Source organism: Homo sapiens, chromosome 9, assembly GCF_000001405.40.
Source record: "Homo sapiens chromosome 9, GRCh38.p14 Primary Assembly".
Taxonomy (NCBI): Eukaryota; Metazoa; Chordata; class Mammalia; order Primates; family Hominidae; genus Homo; species Homo sapiens.
Genome location: NC_000009.12, coordinates 42,945,002 through 42,966,986, shown reverse-complemented (window position 1 = coordinate 42,966,986; position 21,985 = coordinate 42,945,002). Strand labels below are relative to the sequence as shown.

The following is a 21,985-nucleotide window of genomic DNA, read 5'->3' as shown; positions in this document are numbered from 1 at the left end:
AGTTTCTTGTTATCCTCTCAACTCACTCTTTTTATGGAAAAAGTAATTAATCTGATAAATGACACAAAAGATTTTGATGTTCATTAACAAGGTGGTGATTCCAAGAAGTTGAAATAAAAAGACTTCAGAGCCCATCTCTCTTAATCACTATCTTTGGTCTCTTGAGGATGCTTGTGCACAAAATAGGGAGCACCCATGTAAGAGCTGCATAGGCAGGCTCAGTCCAGCGACTGGTTTCATAAATCCAACTTTTCCAAGCATGATGGAATGTCAGAATCCCATGAGCCAAAAGTTTTATGATGAGAGAGGAAGAATGATATTTTACTCCCCAATCTAATTTTAAAATTAAATTTTAATAAAGTTAACAAACCTGAATACACACACACACATGCATATACCCACGCATATGCACGCAGGCTTCTTGCATTCTTTTTTTTGTTTAATCATTCAGGAGAAATGGTTGGATTTTGTATTTTCTATCTACCAATACTTGCACAAACTCTGGCTGCAAAACTTTTGTTGGTCAAACATTAGCATTTGGGAAACCACATCCCTGCTGAGAGATAGAAGATCTTGATACAGCCTTAACTACATCATCAGTAGACATGGGACTGTTTTTAACCAGAAGGAGGCAAATGTCTTCCAGATGGTTGTGTAGCTGGTTTTAACAGTAGCCTGCAGTGGCTTTTTGACAGACATAAACCTTACTAGTTATTATTAGGTTTCAGAGCATTAGTATGAAATTTTAATTTGCTTATGTTAGGGATGAGAAGGTAGCACTATCCTAGATGCCCTAAATATTGCTCCTTGTCACTTTTTCCACACGGAATTCAGAGGTAATCTGGGGACTGTGTCTAAAATGCTCTTATATTCATGTGTTTGCCATGGGTTTCTGAAGCTTTCATTCTGAACATGGTCTCAAGTTGGCTCTTGAGGGCTAATTTCATTACACATGATCATAGGCATAAATTTAAATTTGTGGAGGATTGTTTTGTACACCCCACATGAAGGGGTGACCTTCCCCTCCACACCTGTGGGTGTTTCTCATTTGGTGGGATGAGAGACTGAGAAAAGAAAGAGACACAGAGACAAAGTATAGAGAAAGAAACATGGGCCCAGGGTACCGGCACTCAGCATATGGAGGATCCACGCTGGCACCAGTCTCTGAGTTCCCTCAGTATTTATTGATCATTATCTCTACCATCTCAGAGAGGGGGATGTGGCAGGGCAATAGGGTAATAGTGGGGAGAGGGTCAGCAGGAAAACATGTGAACAAATGTCTGTGTGCCATAAACAAGGTTAGAAGAGGTGCTGTGCTTTGAGGTGCATGTACATAAACATCTCGGTGCATTAAAGGGCAGTATTGCGGCCAGCATGTCTCACCTCCAGCCTTAAGGCAGTTTTCTCCTTATCTCAGTTGATGGAACATACAATCGGGTTTTACACTGAGACATTCCATTGCCCAGGGACAAGCAGGAGACAGATGCCTTCCTCTTATCTCAACTGCAAAGAGGCCTTCCTCTTTTACTAATCCTCCTCAGCACAGACCCTTTATGGGTGTCTGGCTGGGGGATGGTCAGGTCTTTCTCTTCCCACAAGGCCATATCTCAGACTATCACTTGGGGAGAAACCTTGAACAATACCTGGCTTTCCTAGGCAGAGGTCCCTGCAGCCTTCCGTAGTGTGTAGTGTATTTTGTCCCTGGGTACTTGAGATTAGAGAGTGGTGATGACTTTTAACAAGCAAACTGCCTTCAAGCACTTGTTTAACAAAGCACATCCTGCATAGCCCTAAATCCATTAAACCTTGAGTCAACACAGTGCATGTCTCTGCCAGCACAGGGTTGGGGGTAGGGTTACAGATTAACAGCATCTCAAGGCAGAAGAATTTTTCTTAGTACAGAACAATATGGAGTCTCTTATGTCTACTTCTTTCTACATAGACACAGTAACAGTCTGATCTCTCTTTCTTTTCCCCACACCACAGAATCTGGATTCACTACCAAGAGACTGTAGCATTTATCAAAAAGAAGATAAAGAGAAATAAGAGTTCTTGTTGTCTAGGGAATATATCATCTTCTTTAGGTAATGCTTATTAATGCTCCTCAAAATAGCTAGAGCATTCAAGCTTTGTAACGAGTTCACAATGAGAGAAGTAGCTTCTACTAGAAATTAAATGTTACTTCTTTCATTGAGTAACTATTGCTACAAGAATATGTTTGCTGAATAAATTAGCACATTTATTGACATAATTGATTTGCATACTGTGGCAGCACTTCATGGAGCAAACCTTAAGTCCCATGAAAAATTGAATAGAATTATTTGACGGCTAAGTATCATCGGAAAAGCCTGGCTCTAGTTCTCAGGAAGCAATCTGGTTGATTATGTGTTTTCAGTGTGTAGTCATAAAACAACTGTATATCACTAGTGTACATTAGACACTTTGTGCACTCTACATATATTTTCTCATTTGATCCTTCAATACATGCATAAGAGAAGAAATATACGTAGATTTAATTGCTCCACTAGGGTCAAAGACCAAAAACCTCATTACAATGCCAATGTTAGAAATTCTTCTTCCAATTAAAATAAAGCTACCAAAGACAATTGCTCCTGCCATAATGAGAAAATATTGGATGAACTTAAAAAAATTATTATTTTTTTGTTTAAAGCCATCAAAAAACTGTGTGCCTAAAGTTTCAATGAACTAAATTTCAGAGAAAAACAAGCCCTTCCTTGGTGATCACAGATTAACAACAGAGCCCATCTCTGGGACATTTGCTGGATCTGGGGCCTTGAGTAGGTAGAAGAACAAGCCTACAATGTGCAGAAACAGCTGGAACATTGGGAATAAGCAAAATAATCTACAGGGAATTGCAAGAGGGACTGAAAACTAGAAAGATCATGTGTTCTCCTCGCACTTACTTATTTTCACTTAAGAGACAGGTTCTCATTCTGTCACCCAGGCTATGGTGCAGTGGAATAACCATTGCTCACTGCAGCCTCAAACTCCTCCCTCAGGTGATCCTCCTGCTTCAACCTGTCCAGTACATGGAACTACAGGTGCACGACATCATGCTTGGCTAATTTTTAATTTTTTGTGTGTGGACACAAAAACCAACTAGGTTGCCCAGGCTGGTCTAGAACTCTTGGCCTCAAGTGTTCTTCCTGCCTTGACCCCCACCCACTCCAAACACTGGGATTACAGGTGTGAGTCACCACATCTGGCCTCCCCTGGCATTTAGATACTAAACTGTTGGAAAAATGAGTAAAAAATAAATATAAGTAGCATTTTGAGTATTTTCTTCCCGTACACCCATGGATTGTTTAGTGTATCTTACTACTTCACATAGGAGACCATTCCTGCATCAAACTATGTAAACTAAGTATTTAAATTTGATTTTTGCCCTACAATAGGCTCTATGCTAAAGCTCATTATATTTGATTTTGACAATCTGTTTTTATACCACAGTTGCAAAAAATTAATCACATTCTTTACTTCATGAGACTATCATTATTGTTTCCTACAAGTTTCTCTGGTTTTACTTGTTTCATTTTTAAATTCCTTATCCCTTGTCACAGACAGGCATGCTAATGTGTTTGATATAGGTTCTTTACTCTTAAAGAATTCTTACAAGATAAGAAGGTTGTTTTCTGAGTGTGTGTATGTGTATATACATGAGTGTATACATTTTGCTTAAAGAGTATTGTGCTATAAATCTAATTTTATTTCTAATTTTTTCACAGAGCATAACATCCTTCATACATTCCCACATTGCTGTAGGTTATTTTTGGTTGTTTATTCCCCTGTAGCTGCTGCATAGTTTTCAATAAAATGAATCAACCACATTTTCCCTATCCAGTCTTGTAGTAGAATTCACACTGATATCCTGCTACTGAAATATTCACTTCCTTATGGTATCCTTATGAAAACACTTTTTGGTCATGTGTCACAATTTGTCAGGGGCTGTGTTAGTCTCTTTGTATTGCTATGAAGACATACCCAATCCTGGGTTATTTATTTATTTATTTTTTAATAAAAGAGGTTTATCTTGGTTCAGGGTTCTGCAGACTGCACAGGAAGCAATGATATCTGCTCTGGGTGAGGCCTCAAGAAGCTTAAAATCATGGCAGAAGGTGAAGGGGAGCCAGTGTGTCACATGGTCAGACAGGGAGTAAGAGAGAGAAGGGGGCAGTCCCAGGCTATTTCTAACAATCAGTTCTCTCATGAACTCACTGAGAACAACTCACTCAAGTGGATTGTGCTAAACCAAGCTTGTCCAACCCACAGCTTGTGGGCTGAATGCAGGTCAGAACAGCTTTGAATGTGGCCCAAATTTGTCAACTTTGTTAAAACAAAAGAGAGTTTGTGTATGTGTGTGTGTGTGTGGGGGGGGTCTTTATTGATTTATTTATGTATTTATTTATTTTAGCTCATCAGCTATTTTTAGTGTATTTTATGTGTGGCTCAAGAAAATTCTTCTTCCAATGTGGTCCAGGGAAGCCAAAAGGTTGGACATTCCTGTGCTAAACTATTCATAAGGCATCCACCCCATGATCCAATACCTCTCACTGGGCCCCACCTCCAACATGGGGGATCACATTTCGGCATGAGATTTGGAGGGGACACACATCCAAACTATATCAGGTATATGTACCCATCATTGAGACAGGTTGTAGAGTATGCATACTTTCAAATGGGTCCTGTCATGTTATTTTCTGAAATGGTTAAAACCATTTAATTTCCCATCCATTGCCCATAAAGGTTGTTTTCCTCATATCCTCATCACTCAATGTTATCTAGGATTCTTATACTTTCTAAGCAAGTGGTGAAAATACAGATCTCATTTTATTTGTGTACATTTGCATTTGTCAGATTGTTAACAATGTATTGAATTTTTTGGCCCATTTTTCTATTGAGTTTACTATCTTCTTTGTTCATCTGAATATCAATCATATTCACTTTGCCCTAAGCAGTGTCAACATTTTCTATTACTCTGTCATATATCTGATAATTTCATATGCCAACATTTACTGAAATGAGTCTTTATGATTTTTATACTTCTTCTAGAGTTTATGTATTTAATTAAATTTGTTGGTTTAGTATATATTTTATTAAACTGTAACAACAGTCCCAAATCTATGTTTTGCTGGGTTCATTCAGATTTAGAACTCAGATAACTTTTTGGAGGATAAATTCTTTTTATCATAATGAAGAATGGCTATCATAATGCAATATGATTACTTCTGCCAATGTTTATTGTTTTATAGTCTACTTTGTTTCTGTGGTCAGGAGGACAAGACCTGAATGGCCTTGACCAACTCAGCTTTCTGTACCTCCTAGTTCTCAGAATAATTTTAGAATGCTCCAAGAAGACAATATCCTGAGATGAGTAGAAACTGTCTGGGACAGTCTGGGCTCTGTCCTTATTGTTCCTAGAACAGGATATTACTGCAGCCCTTAAACTCAAAGAGCCAAGGTGCATGTGGGGTGTGAAACCTAGGGTGGAGCACTCATGGGTTCCTCAGTGCAGTACACAGTGGGGCATGTGCAGAGGAGACTCCGTCAACCCTGGGCAACTTTTCTGACCTCAAGGGTCAGGCTTGCCATAGAACTTAATGGTTTTGCTGATTCTTCCTGCTCCTCTGTGAGTAATAAATTTGGTTTGCCTGACTTACTGTGTGAGCATTCTTCTGTTTCTGGCAGCTTGGTTTATATAAAAAACCTCCTACTAGACCTATGAATCTATGCAATGTGGAAGTGTCATAGAGGTAAATAAGAAGCAACTTAACTGAGCTAAAAACTAACATGCATAACAAGGGGCCACTGCACCAAGGAGCAAAATGATCCTGCCAAAAAGTCACATGTGACCATTCCAGACATACTGTGGAAGAAGAAGGATGCTGAAACTCACAGAGATCTGAAGATCTTACCCAAGCCAACAGGAGGCTAATAAAGCAAGAGAATTCCACTGTACTTTGATTCGAGAATACAAGCTTCATCTCAGAGAAGAGCAATGCAATGGCCCCAGCGATCAGACCAGAGAGACCCTCTGCCACAGAGAAAGCAGAGGTCTAGAGAACAGCATGAAGACAATAAGAGACTTCAGATTCACTTTCCCTTTGCCTTGAGGCCACAGAAAGCCCAAAGCATCTGAACATCTTCCTGGAGGCATTTAACTAAAAGAGAGCTATTGAAAGTTGAAGAAAAATGTGAATCAAGAAGCTAAATTTAAAGATATATTACTTTCTCCAACCCTCCCCCACCAATTAACCATAGGATGAGTCTAGTGAGATAAAGCATATCATTTATACAAAATACAAAAGTTATATGTTCTTTATGTGAGCAGAAATATGTTCAAGCTTTACTCAATAAAGGTATTTTGTTTCACTACTAGAAATGGTAATTTTCACTTGGTCATTACTTTATTTTATAATTATCTCTATTTAAATTAGTATCAGCTCACTCCTGGGTATCCCCCTAGAGGAAAAGAAGTCATATGAAAAAGACACATGTATGCACATTCATAGCAGCACAATTCACAGTTGCAAAAATGTGTAACAAGGTTAAATGTCTATCAGCCAATGAGTGGACAAAGCAAATGTGTTATAGATACACCATGGAATACTACTCAGCCCTAAAAAGGAATCAAATAATGACACTTGCAGCAACCTGGATGGAGTTAGAGATGATTATTCTAAGTGAAGTAACTCAGGAATAAAAAACAAATATTATATGTTCTCACTTATAAGTGGGAGCTAAGCTATGAGAGAGTGAAGGCATAAGAATGATTTAATAGACTTTGGGGACTCAGAGGGAAGGTTAGGGGGGTGAGGGATAAAAGACTACACATTGGCTACAATGTACACTACTCGAGTAATGCGTACACCAACATCTCAGAAATCACCACTAAGTAACTTTTCCATGTAACCAAAAACCACCTGTTTCCCAAAAACTATTGCAATAAAGTAATATATATGAAAACAATCAACATGATAGTCTTGAAGTGCAACATTCACTGGGTTTCATATGGGAGAAAAACAGCTAAAATCAAACACATGGACAGGCAGTCAGAACAATGTCCATCATATACATAGTAAAATTAATACAAGGACAAACATTCATGAGTGGAGTCCATTTGAATTAGACTGTAGTGAAGACATGTGCCTTAGGGCACACATAACTCATGTTAGGGAGAAAATGTATAATTTTACTCAATGTGAAAACATCTTCAGAAATAACTCAGGCCATGCTGTCCAGATGCAGTCCTGTTCTGTAGAGATGAAGAATAAGAATCATCAAAGTGGAAAAACCTCTGTCCCTTCTCCAAATTCTTGTCCACACAGGAGTAGTACTACTGGAGAGAAAAGCCATACATGTCCCAAATGAAGGAAAGCCTTTACGTTATCAGTCATTTCTTATGAGACATATGAAACTTCACACTGGAGAGAAACCTTATGAATGTAACAAAAGTGAGAAAGGCTTTAGATATTCCCTACACCTTAATAAACATTTAAGAAAGAACATTCTGGAGAAGCCCTATGGATGTAAGGAATGTGGGAAAGCCTTCAAGCAAGGCTCAAAACATGCACATATAAGGAGTCACACTGGGAGAAACCCTATAAATGTGATAAATGTGAAAAAGACTTTGCAAAGTCACCAGAATTAAAAGCCATCTTAAGATTCACAATAGTGAGAAGCCCTGTGAGTGAAAGGCAGGGAAATCATCATTAATTTTTCACCGTACTGAACATGTGAGGAGGACATACTGGAAGGGAGCTCAATGAGTTAACACGCTTGAGAACATCTTTCCTGAACTCTCCTATCTTACAGAAGTGTGAAAAGAAACCCTCTGAAGGTAAAGTCTATGGAAAGCCTTTCATCTTCATTCATCGTGAGTAGATATTTGTTCTCACACTGGAGAGAAGCTATGAAAGTAAGGAATATGAAAAAAGCCTCAGTGTTGTCTCAGACTCATAGTTCATACAAGAACTCACACAGCAGAGACTGCTTATGGAAGTAAAAAATGCAGAAAATACCTCTTTAAACACTATCCCTCCTTTATACATGATTCCACACCCTGGAGGGAGACTACAATTGAATAAATATAAGAAAGCTTTCAGTTCCAGCTCTTCACTTATTGGGCATGAATGAGCACAGGGTAGGACTGAAGCACAGTAAACGTTAACAATTATTGCCTTTAGCATTGTCTTATCCCCCAATTAGAACTCAAATTCATAATTTTGTAGTTTTTCCTTTCTTAAAAAATGTTATAAGATGACAGATATCTGTCTTAGCAACCTTTCCGCTCTGCCACCTTAATGTTGCTATGTAGTAGCTTTGTTACAATTCATTTACATACACATAGTTTCATTTTCAATGGGAAGCCCTTCTGAGCTCCATTCAATTTAGATTTAGAATTCGTATGCTCCATGACACCTTTTTTGTCAGTTTGTTTTTGTTGGTCACAATTTGACTGCATTATGGTCCCATTATGTGGTTTTAATGGTACTGATTTGGTGTACCTGTTATGACTTTCATTTTGGTCTAATGTGGCCAATGCTGTCCATTTCCCTGCTATATCCATTATTCTCATCTTCTTCACTAAGGGAACATAGATTCACTTTTTCCAAGGAGCACTGTTTAAATGTCTTTATTTATTTATTTATGCATATTTTATTATTTTACAATTTTTTTTTGAAAAATGGTCTCACTCTGTCTCCCAGGCTGGAGTGCAGTGGCATGATCAGAGCTCACTGCAGCCTTGAACTCCTGGGCTCATGTGATCTCCCAGCTCAGACTCCTGAGTAGGTAGGACTGCAGGCATAACAGGTGTGCACCACCACAACCAGCTTTTGTTTTGTTTTGTTTTTGTAGAGACTGGGTCTCTTTATGTTGCCTGGACTGGTTTCAAATTCCTGTGCTCAAGTGATTCTCCCACATTGGCCTCCCAAATTGCTGGAATTACAGGCATGAGCCACCATGCCTGGCCCTGGTTAATGTCTTTAAATGAGTTTCCCAGTTTTTCTCGTAACTGTAGTGAGCAAATTTTATAGTCCTGGCCAATGTGAAATGCAGAATTCACTGCTTTGGATTTCTGAAAATCTGTTTGGAAAGGGGAGAGTTATTGTTCCTCTTTTTTGTTGACCAAGTTCCCTTTGCTCTCTCTGCTTGCTGCTGTCTGGAAATAGGATGAAATGCCCTGAGTTGGATTTAGCAACTTGAAGACCATTGGAACGATTGTCCCTACAACAAAACCTTCAATCTACAAGATTTCTCCCTCCCCAATGGCATGTTGTGTATCCCTGGCTGCCCTGGACTATTTCTGGACTTGTTTCATGAAACTAACCCCTAGTAGAACTAAGAAACATTTTAGGAGAGAAGTTTATAACAGATTAAATGATAAACCTAAAAAATGAATAAAACATATTATAAAAATAAAGAGGATAGACAAAACGGGCTTGCAGATGCTGACTGGCCACACTCATCCTTGGCGCTTGCCCCCATGGATGCCTCACTCACTGTGACACTTGGAGAGCTGGCAGCCATCACTCGAAAATCAGAACACAGTGGCCTCTACTGCAGCATCAGGGAACAAAAACTAAGCCTGTCAGCTCTCAAGAAGCATACTTATGTGTATATATATATAAATATATATATATGTATATATATATGACATAAATTTATTCAGGGACTTTGAGTTATCTCATGCTAAACAGATAAAATGAATTAAAACTAGTGCAAAGTTATGGCAACAGTACTCCCCATTATTTATGCAGGGCGTTGAAAATTGGCACACATCACAGATCCTTAAGTCATTCTCTGAATCAGGAGGAGAAAAGAGAACAGAGAGAGCTCACTATATGTGCCAGTCACTGGACTGAGTGCTGCGCCTACAGGATCCCACTTGATGCTTGCAATAACCCTGCAAGATAAAGGTAAAAACTCACACAAACACACTCACACACACAAAAACTCACACACACACTCTCACGCATACATACACACACATAAACTCACACATACACACGCATGCTCAAGCACACACTAGAAACTACAGAACAAAAAAGCATTGACAACTAATAGAAGTATAGTGCTGGCCAAGCAAAGTGGCTCGTGCCTATAATCTCGGCACTTTAGGCCAGGAGTTCAAGACAAGCCTGGGCAACATAGCAAGACACCATCTGCACAAAACATTTTCTTAAATAAACATCATTTTTAAAAAGAGGTATAATGCCTACAGGCTCAGGGAAGCAATACCCCTATGGCTGTATGGTAAGCAGCAGGCAAGGCTATTTTTCAGACCAAAGTGGTAGTGACTCCAGGGTTCCTTTGCACACTTAGCCAGGAGACTAGCTAGCTCAGCACTGCCTGGGTTCACTTTACCCTTCTACAGTTCTAAAGCTCTGGCAGGTGGGACCTAAGCATCACAGAAAGTGCTATTATGAAGGACTCTCTTGACTGCAAGTGACTGAAACGTAACTGGATCCAGCGGAACATTGAATTATTTGGCTTTACTTACTAAAAATGTACATGAGTTAGATGGGCTTCTGTCTCAGTGGGATCAGGGGTCAACTAATATAAACCAAGGCTCATTCTGTCCCTTCATTTCCTGTGTCAGCTCTGCTTTTCAGGCAGGCTGTTTTGAGAGAGCAGCAAAAATGGCCCCATAAAGTTCACATCACTTACTTCCTTACAAATAGATATGCCAATAAAAAGAAAGCACCTCATTCCCAGCAGTTTCATCAAAAGTTCAGGGATGACTTCCATGAGCCCAGCTTGGATCACATGACCACTCCTGAATCAATTACCCTGCCGATCTGATTGCCCAGGGTGGGTCAGCCTTCCCAAATCACATGGACTAGTATTGAAAGAGAGGTCCTCCCATGAAAAAAAAAAAAAAAAAAAAAAAGGAAGAGTAGTGGCAGAGGAATATGAGTGGGGGGGGCCTCATCTCTATATAAAAAGTATGAGCGTACTTGTGCTCTTTTGTACATTCATTTGTATAGTCACTGGGGAAAAAATGAGAAAAACCCAAACACGGCTTTCTATATGCCTCTGTGCTTTGTTTTCAACACTGAGCTGTGAGAAATCTAGTTATTAAAACAAAACTTTGAAAAAATATAACAATTTGGGACAATGGGGACACTTAGCTGATGCAGCACAGGTGAGCAGTTCTTCTTTTGTGCCCAAGAGGACACAATTCCCAGGAGGCTGCATGTGGTCTCCTAGGACAAGCCTGTGGGCACCCACTGGCTGCAGTTCCACCTTTCCTTCCCTGGACTCTCAGGAAGACATGAGTTCTGGATTCAGCTGAATTGAGCTCAAGTTCAGGCTCTGTGACTCACTGGCTCTGTAATTCTGGGTAAGTCTCTTGCTCTCCTTGAGTCTCATATCCTCCTTGGTAAAATGGAGAGGTAGAGCTATTGTTAGATTTTGAAGGCAAGGCGAGGGTTAAAGAAAGACAGAGAAAGACAGTTGGCGGCTTCAACAGCAACACCTTTATTACTAGCAAAACCCTGCAGAGGAGGAAACCAGCTTACTGCCAGCACCAACTGCCTCTCACAGGCTGGGGTGATCATGGGACTGGGAAGGAGGGGTCTGGGCTGTAGAGCTTGCTGCCCGGCAGGATATGGCAAGGATGTTCCTGCAGTCAGGCTGTTGGGCCTTTGCCCGGGAGGGTGCGATAAGGATGTTTCTACAGTCAGGTGATCAGGAAGGATGCTTCTCACGGCCCGAGTTCCCAAGGAATGTTTCATTCTGACCAGGGTGTGCAAAATGGCTGCAGGTTTACAAAATGGTACAGGTTAGACTAACAGCAACATCTCCCAGGTAGACAGTTCTATAAAGTAAACTTCCCTTGAGCACCTACACTGTACCAGACATGGTGCTAGGACCCAGGCCACAGGAGGAATAGGACAGATGAGGCCCCTGCCATCCTGGTGCTCATGCCTGATGAAGGAAGCTAACAGGTCGCAAGACCAGGTCATGTGGTGGTGGTAATGAAAGACATTACCAGAGTGAGATGAGCTAGAAAGAAACTGAAGGAGCTGTTCCAAACACAGTGACAGGGAGAGACCCCTCCAAGAGGTGACTTTTGAGTAGAAACCTGAGATATGTGGAGAGGCCATGGAGAAGGACCAGCCCCTGAAGCCATCCCAGGATTAAAGACCCAGCAGCAGGAGGGCAATAGAATGGCCTGACCTGTGCATCCTTCATGCTTCCTTCCTCAGTGGTGCCCAAACAGAAACATGGGACAATTCTGTGCAGGTCCATGGAGGGAGCAGGAAGCAGCCGCAGTGAAGAGCCATGGTGGGGATGAAATCTGGCCCAACAGTAAAGCTAGAAGCAGGTGCTGCTTACCAATGACCGCAACACAGGTCATGAAGGATAACCAGTCCCTGAAGGCATGTCCAGGGCCAGACCAGCTGGTTGGGCTGCCAGCATCTTAGTAGAGATCCCAGGGGATCAGATGAGCTGGTTAGGGGGAGAAAAAAACAGGAAACCTTCAAAAAGTTCCAGAGGACCCATGACACTTAGAATGAACTTCCCCGGAGTGGGATCTGTTTGGCATTGCTGGTCCTAAAGAGTTGGTCTCACCATCCCCACCTGCCCATTGTCCCAACAGGGACCCCACTCAGGGTGGGGTCCACAGAAACAATCCCTGTGGAAGGGAAAAGGGTGTTTCCCATCCAAAACCAAGGGAGGACACCCACAAAACACCACTCATAAGGAGCAGAGGGCCCTGCAGAGAGAGACAGGTTTCTGCTGCTCTTTTGGGTATCTGCTTCCCAGAGGGGAAGGGGACCATGCAGGATAGAGGGGCTAAGTGGACCCTGGGCTGTGGGGCTAGGGGAGCTGTTGCTGGCTCACTGTTGGAGGTGAGCCACAATAGGAGGCTTAGAACCCTGCCCTGCAACCTCTCCAATCTAATAAGGAGATGGTAGTGTGGTTAGTGGGGGCATCCAGATGCAGTCAAAGGGCACAGGGAGTGATGTGTCCCCTGGCCACCTCTTTCAGCTGTAGATTCTCCCTCTGAGTTACTGGAACAGCTTCTCCATGGCCCCATCAGCCTGGAGTGTGGTGACAGCTCCCAGATGATGCTAACCCCAGGGCCTTGCACCTTCCTCATGGTTCCCCTTGGCCCAGCCCACACGTTTGTAAACAGCTTTTTCTTAATGATCTTTCAGCCACTTCGAGGTCCCTGCCAGCACCTGACTGCCACATTCCCCAAAGGGACCAGACTCCTCGGCACAGTAGCTGAGGTTTCTATAGGCACAGAGAAAACACTGTCCCAACTGTTGGAATGGAGCTGGGAGTGGAAAAAATAATGTTTTTTCTCAATGCTTAGACTTACCAATTGCTTCATTTTATCACATGAAGGCTGTGTGGCACTTTGAAGTAGAATTAGTAATTTACATAATTACAAATTATGTTTTGTTTTTTTTTTTTTAGATGGAGTCTTGCTCTCTCACCCAGGCTGGAGTGCAGTCGTGCCATCTCGGCTCACTGCCAGCTCCACCTCCCGGGTTCATGCCAGTCTCCTGCCTCAGCCTCCCAAGTAGCTGGGACTATAGGTGCCAACCATCATGCCCAGCTAATTTTTTGTGTTTTTACTAGAGACGGGGTTTCACCAAGTTAGCCAGGATGGTCTGGATCTCCTGACCTCGTGATCTTCCCGCCTCGGCCTCCCAAAGTGCTGGGATTACAGGCATAAGCCGCTGCGCCTGGCTACAAATTATGTTCTTAAAAGAAGCTGCTCAGTGCCATGCCTAACACAAGATGGAATTCCACGATGAGATATGTGTGAAGACAGGGTGCCATGGTTACAAACAAGGACTCCAGGTGCAGACTGTTTGGTTCAAACCTGGACCAGCGGTATGAATTTTTGCAACTCTCTGTATTGCTCTTTGCCTCAGTTTTTTCATATAACAACTAGAAGTAAAAACAAGGTTATTGTGAAAATTAAATGAATTAAAGTAAGCGGAGTGCCTACAACACCCCCAGGCACACGGTCAGCACTGAGCATGTTTTTCATTACTACTCTTAATGAGGTAAGAATGAGAAAACAGGCGCCAGCCATGAGCCTGGGGTTTATCTGGCAAAGGCATCAGAGACCCCACTTTTAACATCCTCCATTCATTCATTTGACCCTGATAAGGAAGGAGTCTCATGAGAGAGGAGCAAGCCTCCACCTTGGGGCCAGACATCTCATGATCAAAGTTGAACTCTACCACTGTTCAGCTGGGTGACTTTGGGCAAGTGACTTTCCCTCTCTGATCCTCATGTCCCTTTTTGATAAAAACAGCAAAATGTCAGGCCTATGGGGATTCAAGGAGCCAAAATAAAAATGTGTGTCTTAGTCTGAATTTCCTGGAAGTAGATCCTGAGGCAAAGATTCAAATACAAAAATTTTGTTTGGAGATAACTCTAGGATATTAATTCGACTGCCAGTTCTTCCTTAGGGTGCTAATCCCAGGAAACATCAGTGGAGGAGTGGGGAACTGAGACAGGAAAGGAATGCAGCAGTTAAAGGGACCTTCATCAAGAAAGTTTCCACTGTGGCAGCCAGGACTCAGCCCTGCCAGGTACCTCTGAGAGACAGCACAGAACATGTGCTTCAGAGTCGTCATACCCAGAGCAAGGGACCAGGGGTATTTATTCACCAATACCCACCAGTCACTCCTCAGGGATCCTCCCAAGGGCATGATTCCTCCAGAATGTCCTGCCTGCGCTGCAAGGGTCAGACCTGGGATTGAGGGCAGGACCCCTGACAGCGCTTCCAGCAATGAGCAGAACGACAGCTTGATGTGTACAGTTTCAGTCACCCAGTAACTCCAACACACACACACACACACACACACATTCACACACCACACTCCAACACCAACAAAGTATATACGTACATACACATACATGCATACATGACTGTTACCCACTTAGATCCTAGTGACTCCATGGGATAGACGATAAGGTGGGAATCAGAGGAAAGAGTAAAATTAAGGCGAGTGAAAGTCTTAAGAACAAAATGCAAATTTAGGCTGAAAATGAAGGGGGAGGAGGTGTGGTCTCGACACCAAATGCCTGCTGGGTGGCACATGCTCTACACACACTGTCACTAATTCTCCAAGCAGCCTCATGGAGTAAAAGAAATTCCTCTCAATGTACAGATGACAGAAACATAGTTCAGAAAAGAAAACTGATTTTACTAATGTCTCAGCAAGTTAGTGGGTGACATGGAGTCCCAGATCTTTCTGTCCACAAAGCCTACAAATTCTCCCTTGTTAGGCAGGCTGGGTACCAGGCCCTGCTTCTGGGCTCTGCTTCTTTTCCTGCTAGGCTAAACCGGCAGAACTGACAGAGACATCATCCCCCTTCTCCACCTGGAGCAGAGCCAATGAGAGGGGCTGGGGAACAGCCATGAGGCCTGGCACCCACCATTAAATGTCTTCAGAATTGCCATCCCTCAGAACTCTTGCACCACGAGGTGGCAGCACTCCCAGTGTCTGGGTGTCTTCTGAGGGGTACCAGGATCCAGTAGAGGCCACTGGCTGTGCTGTCATATCCTAAGTGGCAGCCAGGCAGGCTTGGGTCTCTTGGCTGCTTCAGCACCAGAGGTTGGACAGTGCCCATGCACTGAGTCCCTCAGGAGAATGGGAGGGAAAGGAAGGGCAGAATGGAGTGACGTAGGGTCCATCCACCATGTCCCTGGATGGAGAGACCCCTGTTCCCACAGTAGTCCACACCAGGACCACGATTGGCACTCACGAAGATGCCAGCCTCCATGTATATGTCCTTGTCTGACAACTCCTCCTTATTTTCATCCTGGAGACAAGAACCCTGAACACAGTAGCTCTGAGGGCACCTGAGTGTAACCCGAGACAGTCCCTGAAGTCCTTTCATCCAAGCAGGATCCCTCCCTTGCCATCTCCAGACCTGCCCCACAAACTCCCTCCCTGGTCTCCTGGCTCTTGTTCACTCCTTCCAGGCAGCCTTCCACAGTCATCTCTAAAACATATATGACTGTCCCTCCTTTATCCAGCACCTTCCATGGCTCCCCAGAGCCCTCCAGGTCAAGTTCAAGTTCTTCGATCAGACACTAGATCTCAAGCTGCATTCTACCTTTTGAATTAAGATCCCGGAGAAGCCCACCTTGCTCAGCACAAACGCATCACTGAAGTCGAAAATCTTGAACGTGGCCTTGGCATTGAGGAAGTCATCAACACCCTGGCTAGTGAGGGTGCAGTGCCGCTCCAGGATGATGGTGTCTAAAGTTGTGCCCCAGGTCGCAGGCCCTGCAGAAGCATCTCCCCTCAGGAGTGAGGTAGTACAGGAAGTCTGTGCACAGGCAGATCTGCTGGTGCTCTTACACTATGAGGGCACTGAGCTCCAAGATGGTGGCAATATATTCACTGGGATTCCTGCACGGTGAGGTTGGAGAGAGGAAGCATCTCCATAACACATATGAAACCCTGGAAGCACTTCCCAGCCAGAAACTCAGGACCACGTTATATGCAGATACGGGTGCCCTCTGAGCACACTTGTCTCTCTGTCTCCCACTCTGAGCTGCCTCCTGGCCCCACATGCCCCAGCCTGGCCAAGGGCTTAGCCCAGTGGGTGTTCAGTCCATGGTGTTGACTGCTCCCTGGGCCAAGAGAACCCTTGGTGCTCTGTGACTCCTCCTGTGGAACCCCTACCTCTGCCTTGGGACCTCCCAATTCCCATGGAAGCCCCCACAGCTCTGGATTGCCCCACCTGCCCTGGGATCCTCCAGTCCCATAGGCCTTACTCGATGCCTTAGTCCTCCCAGAACATGACACGTTTCTCCGAATGTGGCTGATATCCAGGGCCATCTGTAGATGTTTGCTGGGGACCTCTTGCTGTTTTCCTTTATGGTCTGTAGGGCAGGGCCAAGAGGAGAAACCAGCCCAATCTCAGAATGGACAAAAGGCTCACTGCCCTAACGGCAACCACCAAACAGTCAGCAGTGCTTCTGGATGGAAAAGAGGTTTCATTCTGCAGAAAGCTCCTTGTTTGGCTTCTTTCTGAAGCCAGGGAGGGGTACCAAGACCAGCTTACCTGCGGTGCCTACATTAGCATCTGTGCCTAGGATGTGTGATGGGCTCCCACTGCAGGGTTGACATTCCCTCCAGCTGGAGACCTAGGTTCCTGACACCACCTGGCGTGTTTGTCCTGCTCTGGATGATGGTGGAAAGGCTGTATCTGGTATTTTCCTAGGTCCTTGGTTTTCACCTTCTAGACATCCAGCAGGAGTGACCATACCCAGCCCCACACCTGAAATAGGACTCCCTTGTAGAGCAGCTGAGACATCTACAGACAGAAGAGTGCTCTGGTGAGACAGGCCACAGCAGTCCCCGGGGAGGATCGGGGGCTGGAGGATTCTGGAGGTTTCCAGCCTTGGGCTCTGTGGTTCCTCAAAGAGTTTAGGTTTACCTAGGACTAGGCCTCCCCTCCCATGATTCAAAGAGTGGGTGAGTGCTATGCATCAGGAACTCTGATCTGGACCTATTTTTTCATTTAGGTCACCAAGAGACAACCCCTAACCCCCAAGCTAGGGATGGTCCAAGCTCTGGCATGAAATTCTCTTCCAGCAATGTGATGCTTGCAGGGACAGGGAGAAAAGCTGGTGACCAGGCCTGCTGTCCCCCAGGTAAGGACAGTGTGCTACCCACCCTCTGAGAGGCAGGTGGTGCCAGGTCACTGCACTGGGTGCCTGTACCCCTGGCTCTACGGACACCGGTCATGGAGGTCCTCCCCTCTCCACATTACCTTCTTGCTGCTCCTAGATTTCTTCTGGTCATTAAGCACTTTGAGCCATTTTTTTCTGTGCAGCCGATCTGATATTTTTGCTATCAGATGAAACATGACAAAGTAAGCCAAGCCACCAGGATTCCTGGAGGGAACTTTGGATGCTGTGTCTTGGGATCCAGAGCCCTGATGGGACTGAACCAGAAGGAGCCAGGGAAGGACAAACACTGGGTCTCAGGCCCTATGACCCAACGGCCATTGGTGGCCTGTCCTCATGGCCCCAAGACACCCTGTCCTCAGGCCACAGACACCATGGGCTTTGGTCAGGTCCCAGCCTCCCAGTAGTGCCCTGGCGCCGGTGGGTGCTGACCCCCAAACCACAATAGCAGTTCTGGGTTATGGGTTTGGTAAAACCACCTCAGGGAGAATTCTGGGGTTGGGTTTGGCAGGAACCACGGGGCCTCCCAGGAATGATGTGTCACTCCTACTTGCCACAAAATGTGCACAGAGGCTGTCCCACTGACCAGCCCATCCTGCTGGACAGGATGGAGGAAGTCAGGGAAAAGGCAGGGTGGACATCTGGGGTGCAGGGAGAGGCAGGTGCATGCTGGGAGGTCAGACCCTGCGAGGGCTGTGGGGGCATCAGGTGGGGTGGGCTCCAGGTGCACCCTCAATGCACTGGGTGGGTGTCTCAGGCCAGGCTCCCTGGACCCTGGTTGGCTGATGTGGTCACTTCCTGGGGGACTGCTGTCAAGCCCTGGCCACCCACCCTGGGCAGCACCATCCCATCCCAGGACCAGACTTCCTGAGTCCTGAGACAGGACAGTGCTGTCCAGGCCTGACAGACTGGGAGGACCTGCCAAGTCCTCCATCCCTAGACCAGCCTCCCACACAGCAGGGACAGTCTCTTCCATTTACCTTCAGGGCACTGACTGATCCATGTCACTCTAAGGCAACCAAGGCAGAGCTGAGGACCTGTGCCAGGCTGGGAGCCAGTCTCCTCCCTAAATGGGCCTGAGGAAAGCACAATCCCTGTCCCAATGCGCCCCAAGTTTCAGCCCAGGAGACACATAGGGAAGGGAGGACGGAGCCTCTCTGCTGGCTGACACTTGAAAAGCGGGACCTGGGAGTAGATGGAGCACAGGGCTGGCAGGGATGCTCCAGGCCCATGGAGAGCTTGGGCTGCACCAAGGGGCTGCCCCTTCTGGGCTGGAGGCTGTGTCCTCTGCAGGATCTGAGAAAGTCCAGTCCAGAGATGGGACACTGCTGCCAAGGGTGGGTGGCTGGGCCTGACAGCAGTCCCCCAGGGAGTGACCACATCACCCTACCAGGGTCCAGAGAGCCTGGACTGAGACCTGCCCAGTGCACTGAGAATGCACCTGGAGCCCACCCCACCTGACGCCCCCACAGCCCTCACAGGGTCCGATCTCCCAGCATGCACCTGCCTCTCCCTGCACCCCTGCTGCCCACCCTGCCTGTTCCATGGCTTCCTCCATCCTGTGCAGCCCATAGACTGTGACCATCTCTCTAGCCACTCTGGCCCGTCCTTTACCTTTGTTCTTTCAGAATCTCTGAACAAGATCTCCCAGGTCCATCCAAACACCTGCTTTGTCCACTTTTGACTGGGCCATTGGACACCACTGGGCCATCCCAGCTGTCCATAGGGCCCCTGATAACATGCATTTCCCCTGACAACATGCATTTCCCCTGACACCTCCCAGCAGTGCTCAGCAGCCCCACTGACCAGGTCCCTGCTGACCAGATCCCGCACATCAGGTCCTCCCTGACCACACCCTCACTGATTAGGCCCCCATCACCAGGCCCCACTAACTAGATTCCCGCTGCCAGGCCCACAGTGTCCAGGACCCCACTGACAAGGATTTCACTGACAAGGCCTCACTGACCAGGGCCTCACTGACAAGACCTCCCTGACAAGGCCTCACTGACCAGGGCCTTACTGACAAGGCCTCCCTGACCACATTCCATCAATCATGACCCCATTGCCTGGCCCCACAGATGAAGCCCCACTGACCAGGTCTCCAGGGAACAGGCTGCCAGTGACCAGGCCCCTACTAACCAGGCCTGCGGTGACCAGATGCCCCTGACCAGAAACCTAGTGACTAGGCACCACTGAACAGGCATGTACCGCTCAGACCCCCGTTGCCCAGGTCACCCCATAGACCAGTGCTACAAAAGCCACCACTGATCAAGTCCTCTCTGACCAGGCCCCCACTGATTAGGTTCCACTGACCTGACCAGGCTGCCGTGACCAGGGTCCCACTGACAAGGGCCTCACTGATGAGGACATGCCCTGCTGACTAGGTCCCATGTGACCAGGCCTCCACTGAATAGCACCCCTTGACCGGGTCACCAGTGACCCAGCCCATTCTGACAAGGCTACCACCAAGCCACAGCTGACCAGGTCTCCACTCACCAAGCCCTGCAGCCCAGGTTTGCACTGACCAGACACCAAACATTTGTCTGCCACTAGGTCCCCACTCAACAAGACCTGCACTACTCGATCCCTCTAATGAGACCCTCTCTAAGCAGACCCTGGCTGACCATTCCCCCAGTAAATAGGCCTCATTGACCAAGTCCCAACTGACTAGTTCACTGACCAGGCCCACACTGACCAGGCCCTTCCTAATCATACCAGAAGGCCAAGTGGCAATGAGATGTTTCATATGGCAGGGGTAGGAGCAAGACACAGAGAGGAAAGAGGTACCACACCCTGTTAGACAACCAGATCACATGAGATCTCACTATCAGGAGATCAGCATCAAGAAGATCCTGCACCCACACCACCGCCCACTGTTTCCAGGCAGAAGCCTCCTGCAGAGGCCAAGCCTCTTGAGAAATTTCCACTATGGCAGTGCAGAAGGAAAATATGGGCTTGGAGCCCCCAAAAAGGAGGCCACCATCCTCCATATCCCAGATTCATAGGCCCACCAACAGCTCACACCCTCAGTATGGAAAAGCTACAGGCACTCAACACCAGCCCAGCCCATGAGAGCAGCCATGGGGCTAAAGCCTGCAAAGCCACAGGTGCACTGCCCTAGTAGAGGTTTTCCATGAGCCTCTGCCTCTGCAGAAGGCTACTCCCCCTTCCTAGTACCCCCCACCCTCCTACCACCCTACTGACAACCTACTCCTCCCCACCCTACCCCTCCTTTTCCTACCACCCCGAACCCCCTCCCATTCAAGATTAAATCACCTACCACCAGGCCCCAAAATTAAGGATTACAATTCCATGTGAGTTTTATACGGACACACAGCCAATCCATATTATTTGACCCAGATACCCCAGAACCTCATGTCCTTCTCACACAGCAAAACACAGTCATGCATTTTCAAAAGTTTCCAAAATTCTTAACTCATTCCAAATATAAAAAATTCAAAGTCTCATCTGAGACAAGGCTACAGTCCCTTCGGCCTATGAGTCCCTGAGTTCAAAAGGCATTTCTTTTCTTTCAAGATACAATGATAGTACCAGCATTAAGTAAGGTTTCTCAATCCAAAGGGAAAAAATTCCCCAGAAAAATACAAAAATGTCAGTCCAAACCCCAGCAGGACAATATTCACTCAATCTTTAAGCTCCATAATCATCAAGAGAACTCACTATCACGCAGACAGTATTAAGGAGATAGTGTTTCACCAGTTGTGAAGAATCCGTCCCCCCTCATTTTTCACCCCCACCCACAAAATAATCTCTCCTATTGTCCCCACTCCCCCACCTCCAACCCCCACTCTTCTCCATGATTAAATCATCTCCCACCAGGCCCCACCTTTAACATTCCCCATTATAATTCCACGAGAGTATTGGTAGGAACACAGGGCCAAATCATATTATTCTCACCCAGGTCCCCCCACATCTCATATCCTTGTCACACTGCAAAATACAATGATGCCTTCTCTACAGTCCCCCAAAGTCTTAACTCACTCCAGCATTTACTGAAATGTCCAAAGCCCAGTCTCATCTGAGACAAGGCTGCCATCCCTTCTGCTCGAGCCTCTGAAATACAAAGCAAGTTAACTACTTCCAAGGTACAATGATTGTAGAGACATTGGGTAAGCATTCCCAGCCAAAAGGAAGAAATTTGTCAGAAGGAAGCACAAAACACAGATGGGACTTACAGACCCCATGCAAGTCAAAAACCCAGCAGGAAAGTCATTCCATCCTACAGCTCCAAATCATCTTTTCTGAAAGGATCTACAT

At 45.7% G+C, this 21,985-nt stretch overlaps 1 protein-coding gene and 2 pseudogenes across 6 annotated transcripts in view; 1 reads left to right on the top strand and 2 right to left on the bottom strand.

Annotated features, from left to right (window-relative positions):
• On the top strand, positions 6,999–7,709 carry LOC100419693 (zinc finger protein 114 pseudogene; annotated as a pseudogene).
• The window catches only part of LOC112268044 (ankyrin repeat domain-containing protein 18B-like), a 60,842-nt gene continuing 50,335 nt past the window's right edge, over positions 11,479–21,985 (bottom strand). Inside the window, exons 10-13 of one of the 6 annotated variants that reach the window (XM_047424292.1) lie at positions 16,790–16,897; positions 15,439–16,421; positions 12,364–12,477; positions 11,479–11,782 (exon numbers count right to left, since the gene is read on the bottom strand). The gene's annotated coding sequence lies outside the window, so the exon portion shown is untranslated. The remainder of the gene's footprint in view (positions 11,783–12,363; positions 12,478–15,438; positions 16,422–16,789; positions 16,898–21,985) is intronic. The other 5 variants (XM_047424293.1, XM_047424294.1, XM_047424291.1 and 2 more) reach the window with 5 other exon arrangements.
• On the bottom strand, positions 15,357–16,421 carry CYP4F60P (cytochrome P450 family 4 subfamily F member 60, pseudogene; annotated as a pseudogene).